Source organism: Homo sapiens, chromosome 7 (assembly GCF_000001405.40).
Source record: "Homo sapiens chromosome 7, GRCh38.p14 Primary Assembly".
NCBI classification, from domain to species: domain Eukaryota; kingdom Metazoa; phylum Chordata; class Mammalia; order Primates; family Hominidae; genus Homo; species Homo sapiens.
In genome coordinates, this window is record NC_000007.14 from 66,701,945 (window position 1) to 66,726,893 (window position 24,949).

At 41.4% G+C, this 24,949-nt stretch overlaps 1 protein-coding gene across 19 annotated transcripts in view; it reads left to right on the forward strand.

The window, feature by feature from the left end:
- The window catches only part of RABGEF1 (RAB guanine nucleotide exchange factor 1), a 156,898-nt gene that overhangs the window by 47,378 nt on the left and 84,571 nt on the right, over window positions 1-24,949 (forward strand). For 6 of the 19 annotated variants that reach the window (NM_001367725.1, NM_001367746.1, NM_001367732.1 and 3 more), the window contains one exon: window positions 10,223-10,280. The exons of 12 other annotated variants lie outside the window; for them this stretch is intronic. The gene's annotated coding sequence lies outside the window, so the exon portion shown is untranslated. Of the gene's footprint in view, window positions 1-10,222; window positions 10,281-11,383; window positions 11,525-24,949 lie in introns of all 19 variants that reach the window. One more of the 19 variants, NM_001367727.1, reaches the window with a different exon arrangement.

Below are 24,949 nucleotides of genomic sequence, written 5' to 3' on the forward strand. Positions count from 1 at the left end.
TCAAATGTAAAATTCAGTGGCATTAAGTACATCCACAATATTGTGCAAATATCATCACTACCATCAACTCAAAAAGGGCAGGGCATCCAATACCCATTAAGCTGTCACTCCCCAATCTCCCATTTTCCCAGCCCTGACAATCACTAATCCACTTTCTGTCTATATGGATTTGCCTATTTGGATATTCATATTAATAGAATCAACAGTAGGTCACTTTTTGTGTTTAGCTTTTTTCACTTGGCATAATGTTTTCAAGGTTCATGCACTTTGCAGAATGTATCAAAATTTCATTCCTCTTTAGGGTTGGATAATATTTCATTGTATGGATAGACCACAATTTGTTTATCCATTCATCCATTGGTGGATATTTGGGTGGCTTCCACCTTCTGGCTATTGTTTTGTTTGTGTGTGTGTGTGTGTGTGTGTGTGTGTGTGTGTGTGTGTGTCAGCTCCTTTAGGGTCTGACTTTTGGGTATTTTGAATAGTACCTCTGTGAACCTTCATCTACAAGTTTTTGTGTGAACTCATGTTTTCAGTTCTCTTGGGTATATATCTAGGAGTGGAAATACTGGGTCACAGGGCAATTCTATGCTTTTTGAGGAGCTGCCACACTGTTTTTCACGGAGGCTGCACCATTTTGGATTCCCACCAGCAACATATGAGAACTCCGATTTCTCCAGACCCTCAACAAAATTTATCTTTCATTTTTTGATTATAGTCATCTTCATGGGTATGAAGTGGTGTCTTATTGTGGTTTTCACTTACATTTCACTAATGATTAATGATGTTGAACAGATTTTCATGTGCTTTTTGCCAATTTGTATTTTTTCCTTATAGAAATGTCTATTCAAGTCTTTTGTCAATATTTTCATTGGGTTGTTTGTCTTTTTGTTGTTCAGTTTTGAGAGTTTTTTATATATTCTGGAAACTAGATCCTTATTAGCAATATGACTTGCAAATATTTTCTGTCATTCTGTAGGGTTTATTTTCACTTTTTTGATAGTGTCTTTTAATGTATCTAAGTTTTTTTGTTTGTTTGTTTTTGAGAAGGAGTCTCGCTCTGTCGCCGCCCAGGCTGGAGGGCAGTGGTGCTATCTCAACTTACTGCAAGCTCTGCCTCCTGGGTTCACTCCATTCTCCTGCCTCAGCCTCCCAAGTAGTTGGGACTATAGGCGCCCGCTACCATGCCTGGCTAATTTTTTTTGTAGTTTTTAGTAGAAATGGGGTTTCACCGTGTTACAGAATGGTCTCATCTCCTGACCTCGTGCCCGCCCGCCTTGGCCTCCCAAAGTGCTGGGATTACAGGTATGAGCCACCGTGCCTGGCCTGTATGTAAGTTTTTTATTTGGATGAAGTTCAACCTATCTATTTTTTCTTTTGTTGCTTGTACTTTTGGTATCATATCTAGAAAATCATTGCCAAATCCCAGGTCTTGGAGATTTACCTCTGTTTTCTTCTAAGAATTCTACAATTTTAGCTCTCACAGTTAGGTCTTTTATCCATTTTGAATTATGATGTCAGGTAAAGATACATGAGGTGGGGTAAAGGTCTAACTTTATTTTTTGGCATGTGGACATCCAGTTGTCTCAGCACCATTTGTTGAAGAGACTATTCTTTCCCCCATTGAATGATCTTGACACCTTTTTCGGAAATCAGTTGACAATAGATGTATTGGCTTTTTTTTTCTGGAACTCTATTTCATTGGTCTATATGTCTGTCCTTATGGCAGTATCATGAGGTCTTAATTACTGTAGCTTTGTAAGTAAGTTTTGAAATTGGGAAATTTGAGTCCTCCAACTTTGTTCTTTTTCAAGACTGTTTTTGGCTGAGATTCATTGCATTTGCATTTGAACTTTAGGATAAACTTGTCCATTTCTGTGAAAAATGGCAGTAGGAATTTTGATAGGGATTGCACTGAATCTGTAGATCATTTTGATGGGTATTGCCATCTTAACAATACTGTTTTCCAGTCTATGAACATGGGACGCTTTCCCATTTATTTAGGCTTTCTTTAATCTCTTTCAACAATGTTGTGTACTTTTCAGCACACAAGTCTTGCACCTCCTTTGTTCAATTTATTCCTAAGTGTTTTATTGATTTTGAAGCTATTGCACATAGAATGGCTTTCTTAATTTTATTTTTGAATTGTTATTGCAAGTGTATAGAACAGAGTTCTTTATTATCCCCATCTGGCACTAGCAAGCCACACTGGGGGCACAAACTGTCACCACCACAGCCACCTCTAAGGTTGACAGTGGGAGACTGTAGGCACTAAGTGAAAAGTTGCAACATTCTCCTAACCAAAATTTAACAGGTTATTTCTTAATTAACCACTCTTTTAGTTGTTGCAGGTTTTTAAAAAAATTTCAGAGTTCCAGAAAACTTGAATCTGACACTTTTTGCCAGCTTAATTATTGCTTTAATGGACTGATGGATTTCTGGAGGTCCTTACTCTGCTATTTTCAGTGACATCACTCTGTATGCCTTATTTTAAAACTGCCTATCTATTTTCCCAAGTGGTTGTATCATTTTACATTCCCACCAGCTACATATGAGGGGTTACAATTAAAATGTTTAAATAGTCGGCCAGGTGCGGTGGCTCACACCTGTAATCCCAGCACTTTGGGAGGCCGAGGCGGGTGGATCACGAGGTCAGGAGATCGAGACCATCCTGGCTAACACTGTGAAACCCCATCTCTACTAAAAATACAAACAAATTAGCCGGGCGTGGTGGTGGGCGCCTGTAGTCCCATCTACTCAGGAGGCTGAAGCAGGAGAATGGTGTGAACCCAGGAGGCGGAGTTTGCAGTGAGCCGAGATTGTGCCACTGCACTCCAGCCTGGGTGACAAAGTGAGACTCCGTCTCAAAAAAAAAAAAAAAAGTTTAAATAACCAACGTGTATCTTCAAGTAATATGCTACTTCATGTGCAGAGAAAACTTTTCACTAGGCCTTGCAGCTGGCCTATATTTAGTTTTTTAAGAAACCACCAAACTGTCTTCCAAAATGGCTATACCAATTTGCATTCCCACCAGCAATAGATGAGGATTCTTGTACATGTTTTGTTACATGTATACCTAAGTATTTCATTTTTGGGAGAGCTGATGTAAATGGGAATGTATTTTTCACTTCAAATTCTATTTGTTCCTTGCTGATATATGGAAAAGCAATAGATGGCCGGGCGCGGTGGCTCATGCCTGTAAACCCAACACTTTGGGAGGCCGAGGCAGGCATATCATTTGAGGTCAGGAGTTCGAAACAAGCTTGGCCAACATGGTAAAACCCCGTCTGTACTAAAAATGCAAAAAATTAGCTGGGTGTGGCAGTGCATGCCTGTCCCAAAAATGAACATTTTAGCTCTCCCAAAAATGAAATCCCACCTACTAGGGAGGCTGAGGCAGGAGAATCACTTGAACCCAGGAGGCAAAGGTTGCAGTGAGCTGAGATTGCACCACTGCACTCCAGCCTGGGCAACAGAGCGAAACTCCATCTCGAAAGAAAGAGAGAGAGAGAGAGAGAGAGAGAGAGAGAGAGAGAGAGAGAGGAGGGGGGAGGGGGAGGAAGCAGAGGAGGAGGAGGAAGAGGAGGAAGAAAAATGGAGAAAAGCAGTAGACTTCTATATATAGCTTTATGTCCTGCAACCTTGCTATAATTGCTTCAATTATCTTTTAGAGCCATCAAAATTAAGAAAGAAAATTATATCTACCTTTTTTATGTTACTTCAAGCACTTTCAGTTTGATAGATACAAGTGTTTTTTTTTTTGTTTTTTTTTGTTTTGTTTTTGAGACGGAGTCTTGCTCTGTTGCCCATGCTGGAGTGCAATGGTGTGATCTCAGCTCACTGCAACCTCCACCTCCTGGGTTCAAACAATTCTCCTGTCTCAGCCTCCTGAGTAACTGAGATTATGGGCACACACCACCACACCCAGCTAATTTTTTTTTTTTTTTTTTTTTTTTTTTTTTTTTTTTTGAGACGGAGTCTCGCTTTGTCGCCCAGGCCGGACTGCGGGCTGCAGTGGCGCAATCTCGGCTCACTGCAAGCTCCGCTTCCCGGGTTCACGCCATTCTCCTGCCTCAGCCTCCCGAGTAGCTGGGACTACAGGCGCCCGCCACCGCGCCCGGCTAATTTTTTGTATTTTTAGTAGAGACGGGGTTTCACCTTGTTAGCCAGGATGGTCTCGATCTCCTGACCTCATGATCCACCCGCCTCGGCCTCGCAAAGTCCTGGGATTATAGACATGAGCCACCGTGCCCGGCCTGTTTATTCATTCATTCTTTTGATGGACGCTTGGGTTGTTTCCATCTTTGGATATTATAAATAAAACTGATATGAACATTTTTATACATGTCTTAGTATGAACATATACTTTCATTTCTCTTATGCGATACCTAGGAATGAAGTGACTAGGTCGTACGATAGGTATGTATTTTAGTTTTTAAAAACCCGCCAAACTGTTTTCCAAAGTGGCTGTACTATTTTGTTTTTAGACGGAGTCTCGCTCCGTCCCCAGGCTGGAGTGCAGTGGTGTGATCTCTGCTTACTGCACCCTTTGCCTCCCGGGTTCAAGCGATTCTCCTGCCTCAGCCTTCTGAGTAGCTGGGACTACAGGTGTGTGCCACCACGCCCGGCTAATTTTTTGTATTTTTAGTAGAGACGGGATTTCACCATGTTAGCCAGGATGGTCTCGATCTCCTGACCTGACCTCATGATCCGCCCGCCTCGGCCTCCCAAAGTGCTAGGATTACAGGTGTGAGCCACCGCGCCTAGCTGACTCAAAATATTTTCTAATTTACCTTATGATTTTTCTAATTTACCTTCTTCTTTGACATACTGGTTTTTTTTTTTTTTTTTTTTTGAGAGGGAGTCTTGCTCTGTCGCCCAGGCTGGACTGCAGTTTCGCGATCTCAGCTCACTGCAAGCTCTGCCTCCCGGGTTCACGCCATTCTCCTGCCTCAGCCTCCCGAGTAGCTGGGACTACAGGCGCCCACGACCACGCCTGGCTAATTTTTTTTTGGTATTTTTAGTAGAGACGGGGTTTCACCATGTTAGCCAGGATGGTCTCGATCTCCTGGCCTCGTGATCCACCCGCCTCGGCCTCCCAAAGTGCTGGGATTATAGGCGTGAGCCACCGCGCCCGGCCCGTACTGGTTATTTTTGAAGTATGTTGATTAGTTTCCACTTATTTGTGAGTTTTCCAAATATCTTTGTTATTAATTTCTGATTTCATTCCATTGTGGTCAGAAAACGTATTTTGAATTACTTCAGATTTTAACAATTTATTAAGACATATTTTATGGCCTAGCATATAATTTATAGTGGAGAATGTTTCATGTGTACTTCAGAAGAATGTGTATCATATTGTTGTTGGGTAGGATGTTCTATAGATGTTCGTTAGGTCTGGTTGGCATACATTCTGTTTTTTTTCTGATCTGATATCTAGTTGTTCTCTTTATTATTAAAAATGAAGGCCAGGCATGATGGCTCACACCTGCAATCCCAGCACTTTGAGAGGCCAAGGCAGGCAGATCACCTCAGGAGTTCGAGACCAGCCTGGCCAATATGGGGAAACCCTGTCTCTACTAAAAATGCAAAAACCAGCCAGTCGTGGTGGCACACACCTGTAATCCCAGCTACTCGGGAGGCTGAGGCAGGAAAATTGCTTGAACCTGGGAGGTGGAAGTTGCAGTGAGCCGAGACTGCACCACTGCACTCCAGACTGGGCAAAAGAGCAAGACTCCATCTCAACAACAACAAAAAGAGTATTGAAGTGGCTAAATATTATTGGTGTATTGTTTATCTTCCCTCCAATTACTGCAGTTTTTACTTCATGTACTTTGAGGCTCTGTTTTTCGGTGCATATAGGCTTACAAATGTTATATCTTCTTGAAGGATTGACCCTTTTATCATTCTATAATGTCCTTCTTTGTCTCTAGTAACATTTTTTTTGTCTTAAAGCCAATTTTTTTCTGACATTAATATAGCCACTCTAGCTCTCTTTTGGTTACTTTCTGCATGGAATATTTTTGCATCCTTTTACTTTCAACCTATTTGTGTTTTTTAATCCATTCTGCCAATCTGTGCCTTTTAGTTAGAGACTTTAACCCATTTAATTTAATGTAATTAATCATAAGGATTTACTTCTCCCAGTCTATATGCCATTTGCCTTTTTATTCCTTGGTTCTTCCATTATAGCCCTCCTTTTATGTTCTGTAGATACTCTCTAGTACACCATTTTAATTCCTTGTTGTTACTTTTACTATATATTTTTTAGTTCTTTGTGTTTGCCCTGGGATAACAATTAACATCTTTGTTTATAGCCATGTAGTTTGGGTTTTTTTTTTTTCCTAATTTTTTCTTTTGAGACAGGGTCTCACTCCAATTTGCCCAAGCTGGAGTGCAGTGGCGCAATCTTGGCTCACTGCAACCTTCGCTTCCTGGGTTCAAGTGATTCTCCTGCCCCAGCCTCCCAAGTAGCTGGGATTCTAGGCTTGCACCACCATGCCTGGCTAATTTTTGTATTTTTAGTAGAGACGGGGTTTCACCATGTTGGGTCAGGCTGGCTTCGAACTCCTGACCTCAAGTGATCCGTCCACCTCTACCTCCCAAAGTGCTAGGATTACAGGCGTGAGCCACCGCCCCTGGCCAGCCCAGGAGTTTGAGACCAGCTTGGGCAACATAGGGAGACTCCATCTCTACAAAAATAAAATAATTTTAAAAAGTATCCAGGCATGATGGCACACGCCTGTGTTCCCAGCTACTCAGGAGGCTGAGGTGGGAGGATCTCCTGGGCCCAGGAGGTTGAGGTTGCAGTGAGGTATGATTGTACCACTGTACTCTAGCCTGGGTGACAGAGCAAGACCCTGTCTCGAAAAAAAATTTACAACAACAGAAAAATAGGTTTTGTTTTGTTTTGCTCTAATACAGCCAAATTGTTATTTATCATGAAATTTGTGATGGGAGGGGGATAGGGAAAAAAAGAAATATGCAATATGCCTTCTTTCAGTCTTTTTTTTCTTTCCTGTTATGCCTCTCTACTTGATTCTGCATCAGTAGTATGACCTTATTTTAATTTTTTTTTTTTGTTTTGGTGAGACAAGAGTTTCACTCATGTCGCCCAGGCTAGAGCGCAATGGCACAATCTCGGCTCACTACAACCTCTGCCTTCTGGGTTCAAGCAATTCTCCTGCCCAAGTAGCTGGGATTACAGGCACCCACCACCATGCCCGGCTAATTTTTGTATTTTTAGTAGAAATGGAGTTTCACCATGTTGTTCAGGCTGGTCTCGAAATCCTGACCTCAGGTGATCTGCCTTCCCAGAGTGCTGGGATTATAGGTGTGAGCCATCGTGCTCTGCCTGTTTTAAATTTTAAAATGCATCTGTAATTGTTTTTTAAACTGCAAAAATGAATTAATTAAATCATAATGGAAATAAGAGTATTGTAATTTTCCTACCCATTACAGTGTACATAAGCATCACTATAACTAGTGCTATCTACATAAAATATTCAAATCAGTATACATATTACAGTATTACAGTGGTACCATAGAAAATATTCAAATTGAGGCTGGGCGCAGGGCTCACACCTGTAATCCCAGCACTTTGTGAGTCCGAGGTGGGCAGATCAGGAGTTCAGGAGTTAGAGACCAGCCTGACCAACATGGTGAAACCCTGTCTCTACTAAAAATACGAAATTAGCCAGGCATCTTGTAATCCCACCTACTCAGGAGCCTGAGGCAGGAGAATCGCTTGAACCTGGGAGGTGGAGGTTGCAGTGAACCAAGATCAAGCCACTGCACTCCAGCCTGGGTGACAAGAGCAAAACTCCATGTCAAAGAAAAGAAAAAAGAAAGAAAGCAAATATTCCAGTTAAATCAGGTCATTGATTTTGACTAGATGTCTAAGTGTCATGTACACCTAGGAGGTAATACTAGAAACAATTGGGTATACCCAACCCTCACACCACAATGCAAAAGTAACATTAATTAACACAGTCATGAAATGCAGTTCTACCAAAACAATAAAGTTGTTTAGTGGAGAAAATATTTTATTTTGCTTTCATTTTTAATTTTAAATTAAGTAAAATTTGAAAGTTCTTTTGCACTAGCCCACCTATCAAGTAGTCAGCAGCCACGTGACTGGTACCTTCTACATTGCACCACACAGTTCTAGAATTTCATATAAATGAAATCATTTACTATATACTCTTTTTGGCATCTTTCATTCAGCATAATTGTTCTAAGATTCATGCATGTTATGTGTATCAATAGTTCATTCCTTTTTATTGCTAAGTATTACCCCATTGATTGGATATACCACAATTTTTTAATCCGTTCATCTTGTTGATGGACATTTAGGTTGTTTTTTAGCGTTTAGCTTTTACCAGTAAAGATGCTATAGGCATCCAGATAATAGTGTTTGTATGGACACATGCTTTCATTTTTCTTCAGTAAATAACCCAGCAGTGGAATGCTGTCATCTGGTAGGTATATATTTAATCTTTTAAGAAACTGCTAAACTGTTTTCCAAAGTGGTTGTACCATTTTGCGCTCCCTCTAGCATTGTATGAGAGTTCCAGTCATTTTATATCTTTGTCAGCACTTATATGATCAGCCCTTTTAATTTTAGCCATTCTAAGGAGGTGTTTAGTGGTATCCTCTTATGGTTTTAAGTAGCATTCACTAATGACCAATGATATAAAGCATTTGTTCATATACCATACCTGTTTTGTCTTCTTTGGAGAAATGTCTGTTTAATTTTCCTCCTATTTTGCCTGAGCAAGTTGGGGAAATAGACTGTTGAGTTTTAATAATTCTTTATATATTAGATACAAGTCTTTTGTTGGGTATATGTTCTTTAAAGATTTTCTTTCTTGGGGCTGAGCACAGTGGTTCATACCTGTAATCGCACCATTTTGGGAGGCCAAGACAGGAGGATCACCTGTAATCCCACCATTTTGGGAGGCCAAGACAGGAGGATCACTTGAGGCCAGGAGTTTGAGACCAGCCTGGGCAACATAGCGAGACCCTGTCACTACAAAAAAAAAATAATAAAGGAAATAAAAAAACTTAGCCAGGTATGATGGCGTGTACCTGTAGTCCCAGCTACTCAGGAGGCTGAGGTGGAAGGATCACTTGAGCCCAGGAAGTTGAGGCTGCAGTGAGCTGTGATTGCACCACTGCACTCCAGCCCGGTTGACAGAGTAAGACCATCTTAAAAAAATATTTTTTTCTTTCTGTAGCTTGTCTTTTCATTTTAATAGTAATCTTTCAGAGAACAGATGTTTAACATTTTAATGAAATCCAATTAATCTTTTATTTTGCAAATTGTGGTTTTGATGTTGTATCTAAGAACTCTTTGCCTAACCTAATTATTTGCCTAACCTAATGTCACAATATTTTTTTCGATGTTTTCTTCTTAAAGTTTTAGTCTTACATTTAGATCTGAGATCTTTTTGTGCTAATTTTTTTTTTTTTTTTGCATAAGCTGTGAGGTTAGGTTGAAGTTCACTTATTTTTGCCAAACAATATCCAATATTCCAGCACCATTTGTTATAAAGATTATCCTTACTCCATTGAAATGTCTTTGCAGTTTTGTCAAAAATCTGTTGGCTGTATTTCTGTGGGTCTATTTGTATACTCTATTCTTTTCTTTTTTTTTTTGAGATGGAGTCTTGCTCTGTCACCCAGGCTGGGATGCAGTGGCACAATCTCGGCTCGCTGCAAGCTCCGCCTCCTGGGTTCAAGCCATTGTCCTGCCTCAGCCTCCCGAGTAGCTGGAACTACAGGTGCCTGACACCATGCCCGGCTAATTTTTTGTATTTTTAGTAGAGACGGAGTTTCACCATGTTAGCCAGGATGGTCTTGATCTCCTGACCTCATGATCTGCCCGCCTCGGCCTCCCAGAGTGCTGGGATTACAGGTGTGAGCCACTGCACCCGGACTGTATACTCTATTCTTTTGCATTGATGTATTCTATTTCATTCCATGGTGTTGACCTGTGTCTCATTGCCAATACTACACTGTCTTAATTACTATAGCAATTACTTAATTACTTATAGTAAGTCCTAAATTCAGGTAATGTGAGTCCTCCAACTTTATTCTTATTCAAATTTGCTTTGGCTATTCTAATTCCTTTGCATTTACATATACATTTTACAACCAGCTTGCATATGTCTACAAAAATCCTGCTCAGATTTTGATCTGTGTTTTGTTAAATCTACAGATCACTTTGGGAAGCAGTGACATCCAACCTGTATCAAGTCTTCTAATCTGTGAACATGGTATGCCTCTTCATTTATTTAGGTCTTTCTAGATTCCTTTTAAAAGCATTTTGACATTTCTAGCATAAATATTTTGCACGTTTTGCTAATTTTATACCTATGTACTTCGTTGTTTTGGTGTTTTATAAATAGCAGTTTTAAAATTTCAGTTTCTAATCTTTTGTTGCTAGCACATAAATACACAATTCTATGTTGCAACCTTTACAAACTTATTTATAGTTTTAAATATTTTTCTTTCTGCAGATATCTTTTTTTCTTTTTCTTGAGACTGGCTCTCACTTTGTTCCCCAGGCTGGAGTGCAGTGTCGTGATCACAGCCCACTGCAGCCTCGACCTCCCGGGCTGAAGGGATCCTCGCACCTCAGCCTCCTGAGTAGCTGAGACTATAGGTGTGCACCACCTCACCCAGCCAATTTTTTGTATCGTTGGTAGAGACAGGGTTTCACCATGTTACCCAGATTGGATCTTGAATTCCCAGGCTCAAGGGATCCACCCACCTTGGCCTCCCAAAGTGCTGGGATTATAGGCGTGAGCCACTGCACCCAGCCTCTTTCTGAAGATTTCTTGAGATTTTTCTTTTTCTTTTTCATTTCCTTTCCTTTTTTTTTTTGACAGGGTCTTGCTTAGTCACCCAGGCTGGAGTGCCATAGTGCAAACACAGCTCACTGCAGCCTTGACCTCCCAGGTTCAAGTCATCCTCCCACCTCAGCCTCCCAAATAGCTGGGACTACAGGTGTGCCACTACACTTGGCTAATTTTATTTTATATTTTGTAGAGATGGGGTCTTGCTTTGTTGATAGGGCTGGTCTCGAACTCCTGGGCTCAAGCGATCCTCCTGCCTCAGCTTCCCAAAGTGCTGGGATTATAGGCATGAATCACCACACCCAGCCCTTGGGATTTTCTTTTTTTCTTTTCTTTTCTTTTTTTTTTTTTTTGAGACGTAGTCTCCCTCTGTCGCCCAGGCTGGAGTGCAGTGGTGCGATCTCAGCTCACCGCAAGCTCTGCTTCCCGGGTTCATGCCATTCTTCTGCCTCAGCCTCCCGAGTAGGTGGGACTACAGGTGCCCGCCACCATGCCCAGCTAATTTTTTGTATTTTTAGTAGAGATGGGTTTCGCTGTGGTCTCAATCTCCTGACCTCGTGATCGGCCCGCCTTGGCCCTCCAAAGTGCTGGGATTACAGGCTTGAGCCACTGCGTCTAGCCCAACCTGTGGGATTTTCTATGGAGACAATCAGGAGTTTTGGGTAGGGACAATTTTGATTCTTCCTCTTCTATCTGTATGCTCTTTATTTCTTTTCTTGCCTTATTGCCCTACTTTGGTCTTCCAGTACAATGTTGAACAGGAGCGATGAGAATGAACATCCTTATCTTGTACCTTAACTTGGGTGAACACATTCAGTCTTGAAGTATGACTTTAGCTCTGGATTTTTGGAGATGTCCTTTATCAGGTTGAGGAAGTTCCCCTTTATTCCTATTTTGAAAAGAGTTTTTATTTAGCATGGATGTTGAATCTTCTCAAATGCTTTTTCTGCATATGATACATTGATACGTTGATATGATCATATTGATATATTGATTATTTTAAGAAATGGATACATTGATCAATGTGTTGGTATGTTTTTCTTCTGTTAATAACATACACTGCATTGATTGATTTCAGATATTGAACCAGCCTTGCATTGCTGATATAAAACTGCCTGGTTGTGATTTATTACTGTTTTATATATTGGTGCATTCTGTTTGCTACTTTTTTTGAGTTTTTTTGGTCTATGTTCATAGAGACTATTGGTCTGTGTAGACTTCTGTTTTTGTACTACCATAGTCTAGTTTTGATGTAAAGGTAATGTTGGCTTTATACAACAATTTTGGAAGTGTTCATTTCCCTATTTTCTGGAAACAATTGTGTAGAATTGGTGTTTTTTCTGTTTTAAATCTTTGGTAAGAATTATCTGGAGAAATTATCTAGGCCTTGAGATTTCCTCTTGAAAGGTTTTTTAACAACAAATTCAATTTCGTTAATAGTATGGGACTATTCCCATTCTCTGTTTTACCTTGTGTGAGTTTTGGTAGTTTGTGGTTTTTCAGAAATTGGTTCATTTCATCTACATTGTTAAATTTATGATATAGACTTGTTCATAATATCCCCTTATTATCCTTCTAACATTTGTAGAATTTGTAGTGATATCACGTATTTCATTCCCAATATTGATAATTTATGTCTCGTTTCCTTTCTTTTCTCTCTTTTTTTGTTATTTGGCTAGAGGTTTGGGAATTTTACACATCTTTTCAAAGAATCAGCTTTTGATTTAATTGATTTCTCTATTGTTTTCAGTTTCATTGGTTGCTGCTCTTACCTTTGTTACTTCCTTCTTTGTGCTTACCTTGGGTTGATTTTACTCTTTTTATAGTTTCTTAAAACAGAAATTTAGGGCCAGGCGCAGTGGCTCATGCCTGTAATCCCAGCACTTTGGGAGGCCCAGGCGGGCGGATCATGAGGTCAGGAGATCATGACCATCCTGGCTAACATGGTGAAACCCTGTCTCTACTAAAAATACAAAAAATTAGCCGGGCATGGTGGCTGGCTCCTGTAGTTCCAGCTACTCGAGAGGCTGAGGCAGGAGAATGGTGTGAACCCGGGAGGCGGAGCTTGTAGTGAGCCAAGATCCTGCCACTGCACTCCAGCCTGGGCGACAGAGCGAGACTCCGTCTCAAAAAAACAAAACAAAACAAAAAACAGAAATTTAGGTTATCGATTAGAAAACTTTCGTCGTCCTCCTCCTCCTCCTCTTCTTCTTCCTCCTCTTTCTTCTTCACTACTTCTTCTCCTTCTCTTTCTCTTTTTCCTTCTCTTTCTCTTTCTCCTCCTTCTCCTCTCCTCCTCCTCCAACTCCTCCTCTTCCTTTCTTCTTTCTTCTTCTCCTGAGACAGGGTCTCACTCTATCACCTAGGCTGGAGTACCATGACAGGATCCTAGCTCACTGCATCCTCAAACTCATGGGCTCAAGTGATTCTCCTGCTTTAGTCTCCCGAGTAGCTGGGACTACAGGTATGTGCCACCATACCAGGCTAATTTTTAAAAAAATTTTTGTAGATACCGTGTCTCATTATGTTACCTAGGCTAATCTTGAACTCCTAGCCTCAAGCAATCCTTTCACCTTGGCCTCCCAACATGTTGGGATTATAGGTGTGGGCCTCTGTGCCCGCCTCTTCTTTTCTAATATAATCATTTCATTACATAAATTCCCCTTTAATTTGGCGGCATCGTGTAAGTTTTGACATGTTCTATTTTCATTTTCATTCAAATTAAAATATTTTCTACTTCCCTGGAGACTTCCTGTTTCACCCAGGATTATGTAGAAGTATGTAGTTAATTTCTAGGCATTTGAATATTTTTTAGTGTTCTATTATTGACTTCTAGTTAAATTGTATGATCAGAAAGCATCGTTTATATAATTTTAAATTACAAACAGTTGTTAGGGGTTTATTTTGTGACCAAGGACATAATCTTAGTGAATGTTCTATATGCTTTTTTTTTTAGAGATGGGTCTCGGCTGTGTTACCTAAGCTGGAGTGCAGTGGCTATTCCCAGCACAATCATAGTGCACTACAGTCTCCAACTCCTGGGTTCAGGTGCTCCTTGTGCCTCCGCCTCCTGAATAGCTGGGATTGCAGGCATGTGCCATCATGCCTGGCTATGTGCCTTCAAAAAGACTACAGTTGTGGATGGAGTGTTTTATCAATATTAGTTGGTTTATGATTGTGTTTAGTTCCATATCCTAGCTGATTTTCTATCTGTTCTGTCCATTCTTGAAGAGTCCAACTATAATTTTGAGTTTGTCTATTTCTCCTCAAGTTCTGTCAGTTTTGCTGTATATATTTGAGGTCTGTTTTTAGATGTGTACACATTTTAAATGGTGTTGGGTCTTTACCATTATGTAATGTCCCTCTTAATCTATTGTAAATTTCCTTGCTTTGAGGTATAGTTTGTCTTATGTAAATATAATCAGTTCAGTTTTCCTTTGACCAGCATTTACGTAACATATCTTTTTCCATTTTTAAACTTATAATCTACCTATATTAAAATATATAGTCAGGCCAGGTGCAGCGGCTCATGCGTGTAATCCCAGCACTTTGGGAGGCCGAGGCAAGCAGATCACTTGAGGCCAGGAGTTTGAGACCAGCCTGGGCAACGTGACGAAAACCTGTCTCTACCAAAAATGCAAAAAATTAGCTAGGTGTGGCGGCATGTGCCTGTAGTCCTAGCTACTCAGGAGGCTGAGGCATGAGGATCGCTTGAACCTGGGAGGCAGAGGTTGCAGTGAGCCAAGATGGCACCACTGCACTCCAGGCTGAGTGAAAGAGCAAGACTCTGTCTCAGAATAAATAAATAAATAAATAAAACAGCAGCAACAAAATGTATAGTCATGTCTTTTTTTAAAAAAAACTCTTCTGTCATTGTCTTTTAGTTGGTGTGAATAGACCATTTACATTCATTGTTATTGTTGATGTACTTGGATTTAGGTCTATCATTTTGTTATTTTCTGTTTGCTCTCTTTTGTTTGTTTGAGACAGGAGACAAGGTCTTGCTCTGTTGCCCGGGCTGGAGTGCAGTGGTGCAATCTCGGTTCACCACAAGCTCTGTCTCCCAGGCTCAAGTGATCCTTGTGCCTCAGCCTCCTGAGTAGCTGGCACTACAGGCGACCACTGCCATACCCCACTAAGTTTTGTATTTTTAGTAGAGACGGGGTTTCGCCATGTTGGCCAGGCTAGTCTCAAACTCCTGGCCTCAGGTGATCCGCCCGCCTCAGCCTCCCAAAGTGCTGGGATTACAGGCGTGAGCCACTGCATGTGGCTGCTCTCTGTTTTTTATGCCTCACTGTTTCCTTTCCTGCCTTCTTTTGGGTTATTTGACTATTGCTTAGTATTCAATTTTAATTTATCAATTGATTATTTTATTATATCTCTTTGTGTAGTGTTCTTTAGTGGTGGCTCTAAGAATTACAGTATGTACACCAAACTTTTTACTTTCTGCTTAGAATTAATATTTTACCACTTGTAAAATGTAGGAACCTGGCTATCATGTAGGTTCCTTTCCCCTGTCCTTACTATGTTGTAGTTATCATATGTATTGCATCTATAAACATTGAAATTCCATTAGAATCTGAAACTGTTCTAAAAAATAAAGCTTATTTTTAAAATACTTATTAGACAATATTACATCTTTTGCTTTCAATAATCATATGTATTTTAGGCCAGGGCGTGGTGGCTCACACCTGTAATCCCAGCACTTTGGGAGGCCGAGGCAGTGGATCACCTGAGGACAGGAGTTCAAGACCAGCCTGGCCAGTATGGTGAAACCCCGTCTCTAGTGTCACCCAGGCTGGAGTGCAGTAGTACAATCACAGCTCACTACAGCCTTGACCTCCCCAGGCTCAGGAGATCTTCCCATCTCAGCCTCCCAAGTAGCTGAGACTAAAGGTGCACACCACCATGCCCATCTAATTTTTTTGTATTTTTCAGAGATAGGGTTTTGCTCTGTTGGCCAGGCTGGTCTCAAATTCCTGGGCTTAAGTGATCCACTCGCCTTGGCCTCCCAAAGTGCTGGGATTACAGGCTTGAGCCACCAGATAACATTTTAAAACCTGTTTTCAAGTCTACTAGCTCTTTCTTCGGTCATGCACATTCTGTTACTGAACTCATTGAGTTAATTTTAAAACTCAGTAATTGTATATTATCAGTTCTAAAATATCTATTTGGTTCTTTTTTGTATCTTCTATTTTCCTGCTGAGGGTTTCTATCATTCCATTCATTTAAAAAATATTCTCCCTTAGAAAACTAGTTAAATAGGTAGGCCAGGCATGGTGGCCCAGCACTTTGGGAGGCTGAAGCGGGCAGATCACCTGAGGCCAGGAGTTCGAGACCAGCCTGGCCAACATGGTGAAACCCTGTCTCTCTACAAAAAATACAAAAAAATATTAGGCGTGGTGGTGCACATCTGTAATCCCAGCTACTCAGGAGGCTGAGGTGGGAGGATTGCTTGAACCTGGGAGGCAGAGGTTGCAGTGAGCTGAGAACATGCCACTGCACACTCCAGCCTGGGTGACAGAGCAAGACTCTGTCTAAAAATGAAGAAGAAAAATAGTTAAATAGCTGCTTTAAAATCCTGGTTTGGTAATTCCAACATCTGTGCCATCTTGGGGTTGGCATCTGTTAATTATCTTTTTCCATGTAAGATGTTTAGATTTCCCTAGTTCTTTATATATTGGATAATTTTGAATTGTGTTTTGGATGTCTCAAACATAGTGTTACGTGGTTAAATTCTATGGAGAAGTTTAATTTATAAAAAAAAAATAGGCAATGGATTTGGTTAGGTTCAAGCTGCAACTTCCTACCTGCACTCCGTGAGCTGTGGTTACAATGTCAGTTTAGTTCCCAAATACTTCGCAGTATTCAGATATGTCCTGAGTATGTACCACGCAGTGGCCAGCCTGGAACCTGGGGAGTGGTCCATCCTGTAATTTCTTTCTCAAAGCCTGTGCTGTTTAGGATCAAATGCACACACATGCAGCTCAGGGGTGAGCTGAAGAGTTTATATAAATTGTTAATCAAATTGTCATCTCAAGCTCCCTCTTCTCATCAATTTCACTGACACTTTTCAGCTCCCAAGGGCCCCTCCCTAGTCCTTTAACTCTAAAGCCAGGGCTTCAGTTTCTCTGCTCTGCCACATACTTCTTACGACTGCATCTTTCTTCAGTGCCAAGTGGCAAGAGCATAGAGAGAAAGACAGCAACAGGAATCCCTCCAGCACTCTTGGGGCCACAGACTCTTGAGAGAAGTGTTCCCTCGCAGAGCATTTGGTGGTTACCCAACTGCTTTTGCTTGTCTCACCATGTCATGTGATTGCCTAGAAGCTGGGACAGTAGGGAACGGCAATTAACACCAAAAACCAACCAACCAACAAAAACAACATCACAAAAAACAAACTGGGGCTGTCTCCATTCTTCCTGACCTGTAGGGGCCTCCTTTCGCAGTCTGAACCACAAATGGAGAGCTTCTCTTAGAGCTCCTTCTGTCTGTACCTGGTTTACCATCTTAGCCTCCTGAGTAGTTGGGAACCATAGGTGCACGCCACCAAGCCCAGCTAATTTTTATATATATTTTGTAGAGATGGGGTCTTGCTATGTTGCCTAGGCTAGTTTCAAACTCCTGGCCTCAAGCACCTCGGCCCCCCGCAGTGTGCTGGGATTACAGGCATGAGCCACCATGCCTGGCCAAAATTTTTTTTATGTAAATCTTTCTGATAAAAATTTCAGATCCAGATGGCTTGACTGGTAAATCCTTTCAAATAATTAAGGAGGGAGTAATATGAATCCCACAAAAACTTTTAGAAAACATAGAAGACAATACTTCCCAAGTAATTTTATGAGGCCAGTGTTAACTCTGATACCAAAACCAAACACCTAACAAATAGACCAGGAGTCAGCAAACCATGGCTTGTGGGGCCAAACCAGACTATGATTTGTTTCTGTAGATAAAGTTTTATTGAAACATAGCCACATTTATTAAATTACATACTGTCTTTTCCTGTTTTCCTGTTACAGTAGTAGGGTTGAGTAGTTATAGCAGAAGTTATATGGCCTGCAAAGCCTCACATATTTACTGACTTTACAGAACAAGGTTTGCTGGTCCCTGATGTGGACCAGCAGTCTTCATGGAAAAAGATGCAAAAATGCTTTAGAAAGATTAGCAAATCAAACCCAATAAATAAAAGAGATAAAATATCAAGATCAAGTGAAATGCGTCCCAGAAATACAATGTTGCTTTAACAACAAAAACAAAAATAAGTCAATGTAATGCAATATATTAACAGAAGAAAGGTTTAAAATGGCAGGATCATCTCAATACTTGCAGAAAAGAAGCATTTGACAACATTCAACATCCATTCATTATTATTATTATTATTATTATTATTTTTTTTTTTTTTTCTTTGAGAGGGTGAGTCTTGTTCCATTGCCCGGGTTGGAGTGCAGTGGCGCGATCTCGGCTCACTGTAACCTCTGCCTCCCAGGCTCAAGAAATTCTCGTGCCTCAGCCACCCCAGTAGCTAGGACTACAGGCATGCACCACCACGCCCAACTAATTTTTGTATTTTTAGTAGAGACGGGGTTTCGCCATGTTGGCCAGGCTGGTCTCGAACTCCTAGCCTCAAGCGATCCACTCACCTCAGCCTCCTAAAGTGCTAGGATTACAGGCACGAGCTACTGTGCCCACCCCACTGATAATTAAAAAAAAAAAAAATCAGCAAACTAAATATAAAAGGGAACTATCTCAACCAGAAAAAATACAGCTACAAAAACTTAAAGCTAATATTTTAATGGATAAAGTATGAATTGTTTCTCCCTAAGATTAGAAACAAGGCAAGCATGTCCACTCTTGCTGCTTGCATTTAGCATAGTACTAGAGGTTCAAGCTTGTGCAATAATAAAAGAAGAAAAAGTAAAAGACATACCAACTGGAAAGGAGGAAGTAACACTGTTCTTATTGCAGACAACATGATCATCTGTATAGAAAGTCCCAGGAGATATGAAATAAGCTACTAGAACTAATAAGTTAGCAGAACCAAGTGTCAATTGAATTTCCATATGCTAGCTCAAACAATGGGAACTGAAATTTTAAAAACAAAGCCATTATTATTATTATTGTTGTTATTTGAGACAGAGTCTTACTCTGTCGCCCAAGCTTGAGTGCAGTGGCACAATCTTAGCTCACTGCAACCTCCACTTCCCAGGTTCAAGTGATTCTCCTGCCTGAAACCTCCAGAGTAGCTAGGATCACAGGCGCACGTCACCACGCCCGGCTAATTTTTGTATATTTAGTAGGGATGGGGTTTCACCAGGTTGGCCAGGCTGCTCTCGAACTCCCGAGCTCAAGTGATCTGCCGGCCTCGGCCTCCCAAAGTGCTGGGATTACAGGCATGAGCCACTGTGCCCGGCCAAAAGAAAGCCATTAATAATAGTGTTTAAAAATCAAAATACCTAGGAATAAATTTAATAAGAGACATGTATATTAGTGTCTTACTGCTACTCTAACATATGCCATATAGTGACTTAATACAAATTTATTGCCATACAGTCCTGGAAGTCAGAAGTCCAAAGTCAGTCTGTCTGAAATCAAGATGTCACAGATTCGCCTTCTGGAGGCTCTTGGGGGAGATGCTTGCCTTTTTTCACTTCTAGGTGCTGCCTGAGTTCCTTGGCTCATGGCCTCTTCCTCCATCATTAAATGCAACAGTGCAGCATCATCAAATTCCACCCCCTTTGCTCTGGCACTTATCTCTGCTTCCATTATCACATCTCTTTTTCTGACTCTGACCCTCCTGCCTCCCCCCTTATGAGAAACTTTGCAGTGGGACCTATCCAGATAATCCAGGATAATTTCTCCACCTCAAGATCCTTAATTTAGGCTGGGTCCAGTGGCTCACGACTCTAATCCCAGCACTTTGGGAGGCCAAGGCGGGCAGATCTCTTGAGCTTGGCAGTTTGAGACCAGCTTGGCCAACGTGGTAGAACCCCGTCTCTACTCAAAACACAAATTTAGGTGGTTTGTCTTTTTACTTCCTTGGTGCTTTGAAACAGAAAGTTTTTGGCCAAGTGGGGTGGCTTATGCCTGTAATCCCAGTGCTTTGGTAGGCTGAGGTGGGAGGATCACTTTGAGGTCAGTAGTTCAAGACCAGCCTGGACAATATAGTGAGACCCCCCCTCCGTCTTTTCAAAAAATCAAAAAAATTAGCTGGGCATGGTAGCACATGCCAATATACCTGATGATGTCCCAGCTAGGCAGGAAGATCACTTGAGCCCAGGAGTTCAAGGTTTCAGGGAGCCATGATTGTTTCACTGCACTTCATCCTGGGCAACAGAATAGGACCCTGTCTCAGGGGCTGGGTACGGTGGCTCACGCCTGTAATCCCAGCACTCTGGGGGGCTGTGGTGGGTGGGTCATGAGGTCAAGAGTTCGAGACCAGCCTGGCCAACATGGTGAAACCCCACCTTTACTAAAAATACAAAAATTAGCCAGGCGTGGTGGTGCGCGCCTGTAATCCCAGCTACTCAGGAGGCTGAGGCAGGAGAATCACTTGAACCTAGTAGACGGAGGTTGCAGTGAGCTGAGATTGTGCCATTGCACGCCAGCCTGGATGACAGAGCAAAACTCCGTGTCAAAAACAAAAAGACAAAAAAACCCTGTCCTTACAAAGAAAGAACAAAGGAAAAAAGAAATACAAAGTTTTAAATTTTGATGAACTCCAATTTATGAAGTTTTTCTTTTATTACTTGTGCTTTAGGTGTTGTATCTAAGAAAACCATTGCCTAATTCAAGGTCACAAAGATTTATGCTTACCTTTTCTTCTAAGAGTTTTGTCGCCTTAGCTTTTATATTTGGGTCTATAAAACATCACTACTATGATGTTTTCATTATTACAGGTTTGTAGTAAGTTTTAAAGTCAAGGAGTGTGAGTCTTCCAATTTTTTTCTTTTTCAAGATTGTTTTGTAATTCTGCATTTCCGTATGAATTTTAGAATCAGCGTGTCACTTTCTACAACAGGCAGCTGAGATTTTGATAAGGATTACACTGAATCTGTACATCATTTTAGGGATTATTGGCATTTTAACAATATTAAGTCTTCCAGTCCATAAACACAGCATGTCTTTCCATTTATTTAGGTCTTCTTTAATTACTGTTTCTTTTCTTTTTTTCTTTTTTTTTGAGATGGAGTTTCACTCTGTCACCCAGGCTGGCGTGCAATGGCGTGATCTTGGCTCACTGCAACCTCCACCTCCTGAGTTCAAGCGATTCTCCTACCTCAGCCTCCCTGGTAGCTGGGATTAGAGGCAAGCGCTGCCACGCCCGGCTAGTTTTTGTATTTTTAGTAGAGACGGGGTTTCACCATGTTGGCCAGTCTGGTCTCCAATTCTTGACCTCATGTTATCTGCCTGCCTCAGCCTCCCAAAGTGCTGGGATTACAGGCATGAGCCACCACACTGGGTCTCCTACCTTCCTTTAGATTGAAGTTTCTTGTTTGTTTTGGTTTTTGTTTGCCATTTTGTCACCTTTGACCCATTAGCTATTTGTGTGTGCGATTATCCTGGAGTTTATAATGTGAATCTTTAACTTTTCACAATCTACCCTTACGTTGCGTTTAACACTTCATGAATAATATAAGAACTTTACAACACCATACTTTCATTTCAATCTTCCATTTTTTATGCTATTGTAGTCATGCATTTTACACCTATGAAGTTATAAACCCCACAATACACTGCTATTTTTTCTTTAAACAATTACTGTTTTTTTTGTTTTTGTTTTTGTTTTTTTTTGAGACGGAGTCTCACTCTTGTTGCCCAGGCTTGAGTGTAGTGGTGTGATCTTGGCTCACCACAACCTCTGCCTCCTGGGTTCAAGTGATTCTCCTGCCTCAGCCTCCTGAGTAGCTGGGATTACAGGGCTGTGACACCACGCCTGGCCACTTTTGTATTTTTAGTAGTGACGGGGTTTCACCATGTTGGTCAGGCTGGTCTCGAACTCCTGACCTCAGGTGATCTGCCCACCTTAGCCTCCCAAAGTGCTGGGATTACAGGTGTGAGCCACCATGCCTGGCCAATTATCTTTTAAAGAAATGAAAATAAGAGAAAATATCTGTTACATTAATCCACATATTTGCCATTTTTAGTGCTTTTCATTGTCTTGTATTTCATGTTTATGTTTATCTTTTTCCTTTAGCCTGAAATTTTAATTTTATAAATTTTTGTGTTGCAGTTTCTGTTGGGCAATAAATTTTCTCACCATTTGTTTCTTAAGAAATTTTTTTTTTGTCTTCGTTTGAGAGAGGCTATTTTAATTGAATAAAGAATTATAGGTTAACAGCTTTTTCCCCCCAGCACTCTAAAGATGTCATGTTATTGTCCTCTAGCTTTCATTGTTTCTGATAATAAGTCAGCAGTAATTCTTATCTTTGTTCCTTCTACATAATGTGTTATTTCCTTCTCTGGCTGCTTTTAAGATTTTTCTCTTTATTTTTGGTATTCAGCAACTTGATTGTGATATGTTTTGGTGTGGTTTTCTTTGAATCAGTATTTATTTATTTTATTTTTTTTTTTTGAGACGGAGTCTCGCTCTGTCACCAGGTTGGAGTGCAGTGGCGCGATCTCGGCTCACTGCACCCACCGCTTCCCAGGTTCAAGCAATTCTCCTGCCTCAGCCTCCCGAGTAGCTGAGATTACAGGCGCATGCCACTGCGCCCAGCTAATTTTTGTATTTTTAGTAGAGACAGGGTTTCACCATGTTGGTCAGGCTGGTCTTGATCTCGTGACCTTGTGATCCACCCACCTCGGCCTCCCAAAGTGCTGGGATTATAGGCGTGAGCCACTGCACCTGGCCTGAATCAATATTTATTCTTCTTGGAGCTCTTTGAGTTTCTTGGATCTTTGGGTTCATGGTTTTCATCAAATTTATAGTTTGAAAAAAATTCAGCAATTATTTCTTCTGCCTCTGGTACTCCAATTATATGTGTGTTGGATGGATTAATATTGTCCTATAGGTCACCAAGGCTCTGTTAAAATTTTTTTTGGCTTGCTTTTTTCCCTTGGTGCTTTAGTTTAGATAGATTCAGGTTCATTGATCTTGTCTTTGTAGTGCCAAATCTGCTGTTAAGCTCATCCCATATGTTTTTTATCTTAGACATTATGTTTTCAGCTCTAGAAGTTCCATTGGTTCTCTTTTAAATCTTCTATTTCTCTCCTTATTATATTTGTTTTCCCTTTAAAATCTTGAACATATTTCTATAGCCGATTTAAAATCTTGGAAACTAATTTGATCATCTTTGTCACTTCTGGGTCTGTTTCGATTATTATTTTTTTAATTACAGGTCATATTTTCCCACTTCCTTACATGTCTGTACATCCTTTTACAGCTTTATCAAGATACACTTTACTTTACCATACAATTCACTAATTTAACATGTACACTTTAATGACCTTTAGTATATTCAGAGAATTGTACATCCATCATCATAATCAATTTTACAATATTTTCCTTATCCCTAAAAGAAGCTTCACTCCCCTTAGCCCTTGTCCCACAGTCCCTCCATTCTGCCCCACCCTCAGCCCTAGGCCACCACCCATCTACTTTTTGTCTTTATAGATTTGTCTATTCATATAACTGGAATAATGCAATCTGTGATTCTTTGTGACTTAGCATCATGTGTTCAGAGTCCATCCATGTTGTGGCATGTATCAGTTCTTGTTTCTTTTTATTGCCAATAACATTACATAGTATGGCTATAGTGAGTTTTGATGAGTTCGTGAATATTGTGATGTTATGCTGTTTTTGTTCCATCCATGGCAATTTTATGAGGCAGATATGACTCCCCCAACTTTATGGATGAGGAAAGTGCAGCTCGGATAGAAGGCCACACTGTGGGTGGAACTCCTAGGAAGCTGGTATGACAGAGAGGACATGGCCTTACCCTAAGGGGAGAAACATAGGCATGCTTTGCAAAAGGTCTGAGGGAAGACACAAGGAGCTCCCCCGAAAAGTAAGTCTGATGAGGGAGTTACACCCATGCTTTGGAAAGTCTAATCTGAGGGGGACGTGGACCCTTCCATGTGAAGACCCAATCAGAGGGGGAAGCTGTGACCCTTTCTTGGGCACTGTGACCTGAGGAGAGATGTGATCCCACTTAGAAAACCCCCATTCATCAGGCCTCCCTTGATCAGTGGAGGTCAGCAGCCATGGGCCTGGGTCCTAAGGCACCTTCAGCTCTCGGGAGGACCTGCCAGCACAGGGCACAAGGCCACATCTGTCTGCAGGAAGCTGCTACTCAGACAGGGCCAGAAGGGATGCCAGGCACAGAGCCAGAATCCCAAAGCACCCAGCCTGGGCTTTGCCCACAGCTGGGACCCAGAGCCATCAAATGACTATGAGAGTGCCTAGTCAGTGGGTGCTTATTCATATCTGCTGGGTGGTAGTGCCTCCAGTTCTGCAGTCCTCTCTTCCTGTAGCTGGGGCCTCTTGTTCTCTCACCTGTGGGTTCAGCTTCACTCCAGGCTCAAAGACCAGGAGGCCTCCCAGAGATTAGGAGGGATTTAAGCATTTTTTTTAAGAGGGACAGGGTCTTGCTCTGTTGTGCAGGCTGGAGTGCAGTGGTGCCATCATAGTTCACTGCAGCTTCCAACTCCTGGGTTCAAGCGATCCTCCCACCTCAGCCTCCAAGTAGCTGAGACTACAGGTATGCACCACCACTCCTGGCTAGTTTTTAAATTTATTAAAGAGATGGGGTCTTGCTATGTTGCCCAGGCTGGTCTGAAACTCCTGTTGGGCTCAAGTAATCCCCCGACCTCAGCCTCCCAAAGTGCTGGGATTACAGGCATGAGCCACTGCACCCAGCCCAAAAAGCAGAGGTTTTGTTTTCAGGATAATGAAATGGTCTAAAATGGACTGCGAGGTCAGGTGCGGTGGCTCACGCCTGTAATCCCAACCCTTTGGGAGGCTGAGGTGGGCTGATCACTTAAGGTCAGGAGTTCAAGACCAGCCTGGCCAATATGGTGAAACCCTGTCTTTACTAAAAATACAAAAATTAGCTGGGTGTGGTGGCATGTGCCTGTAGTCCCAGCTA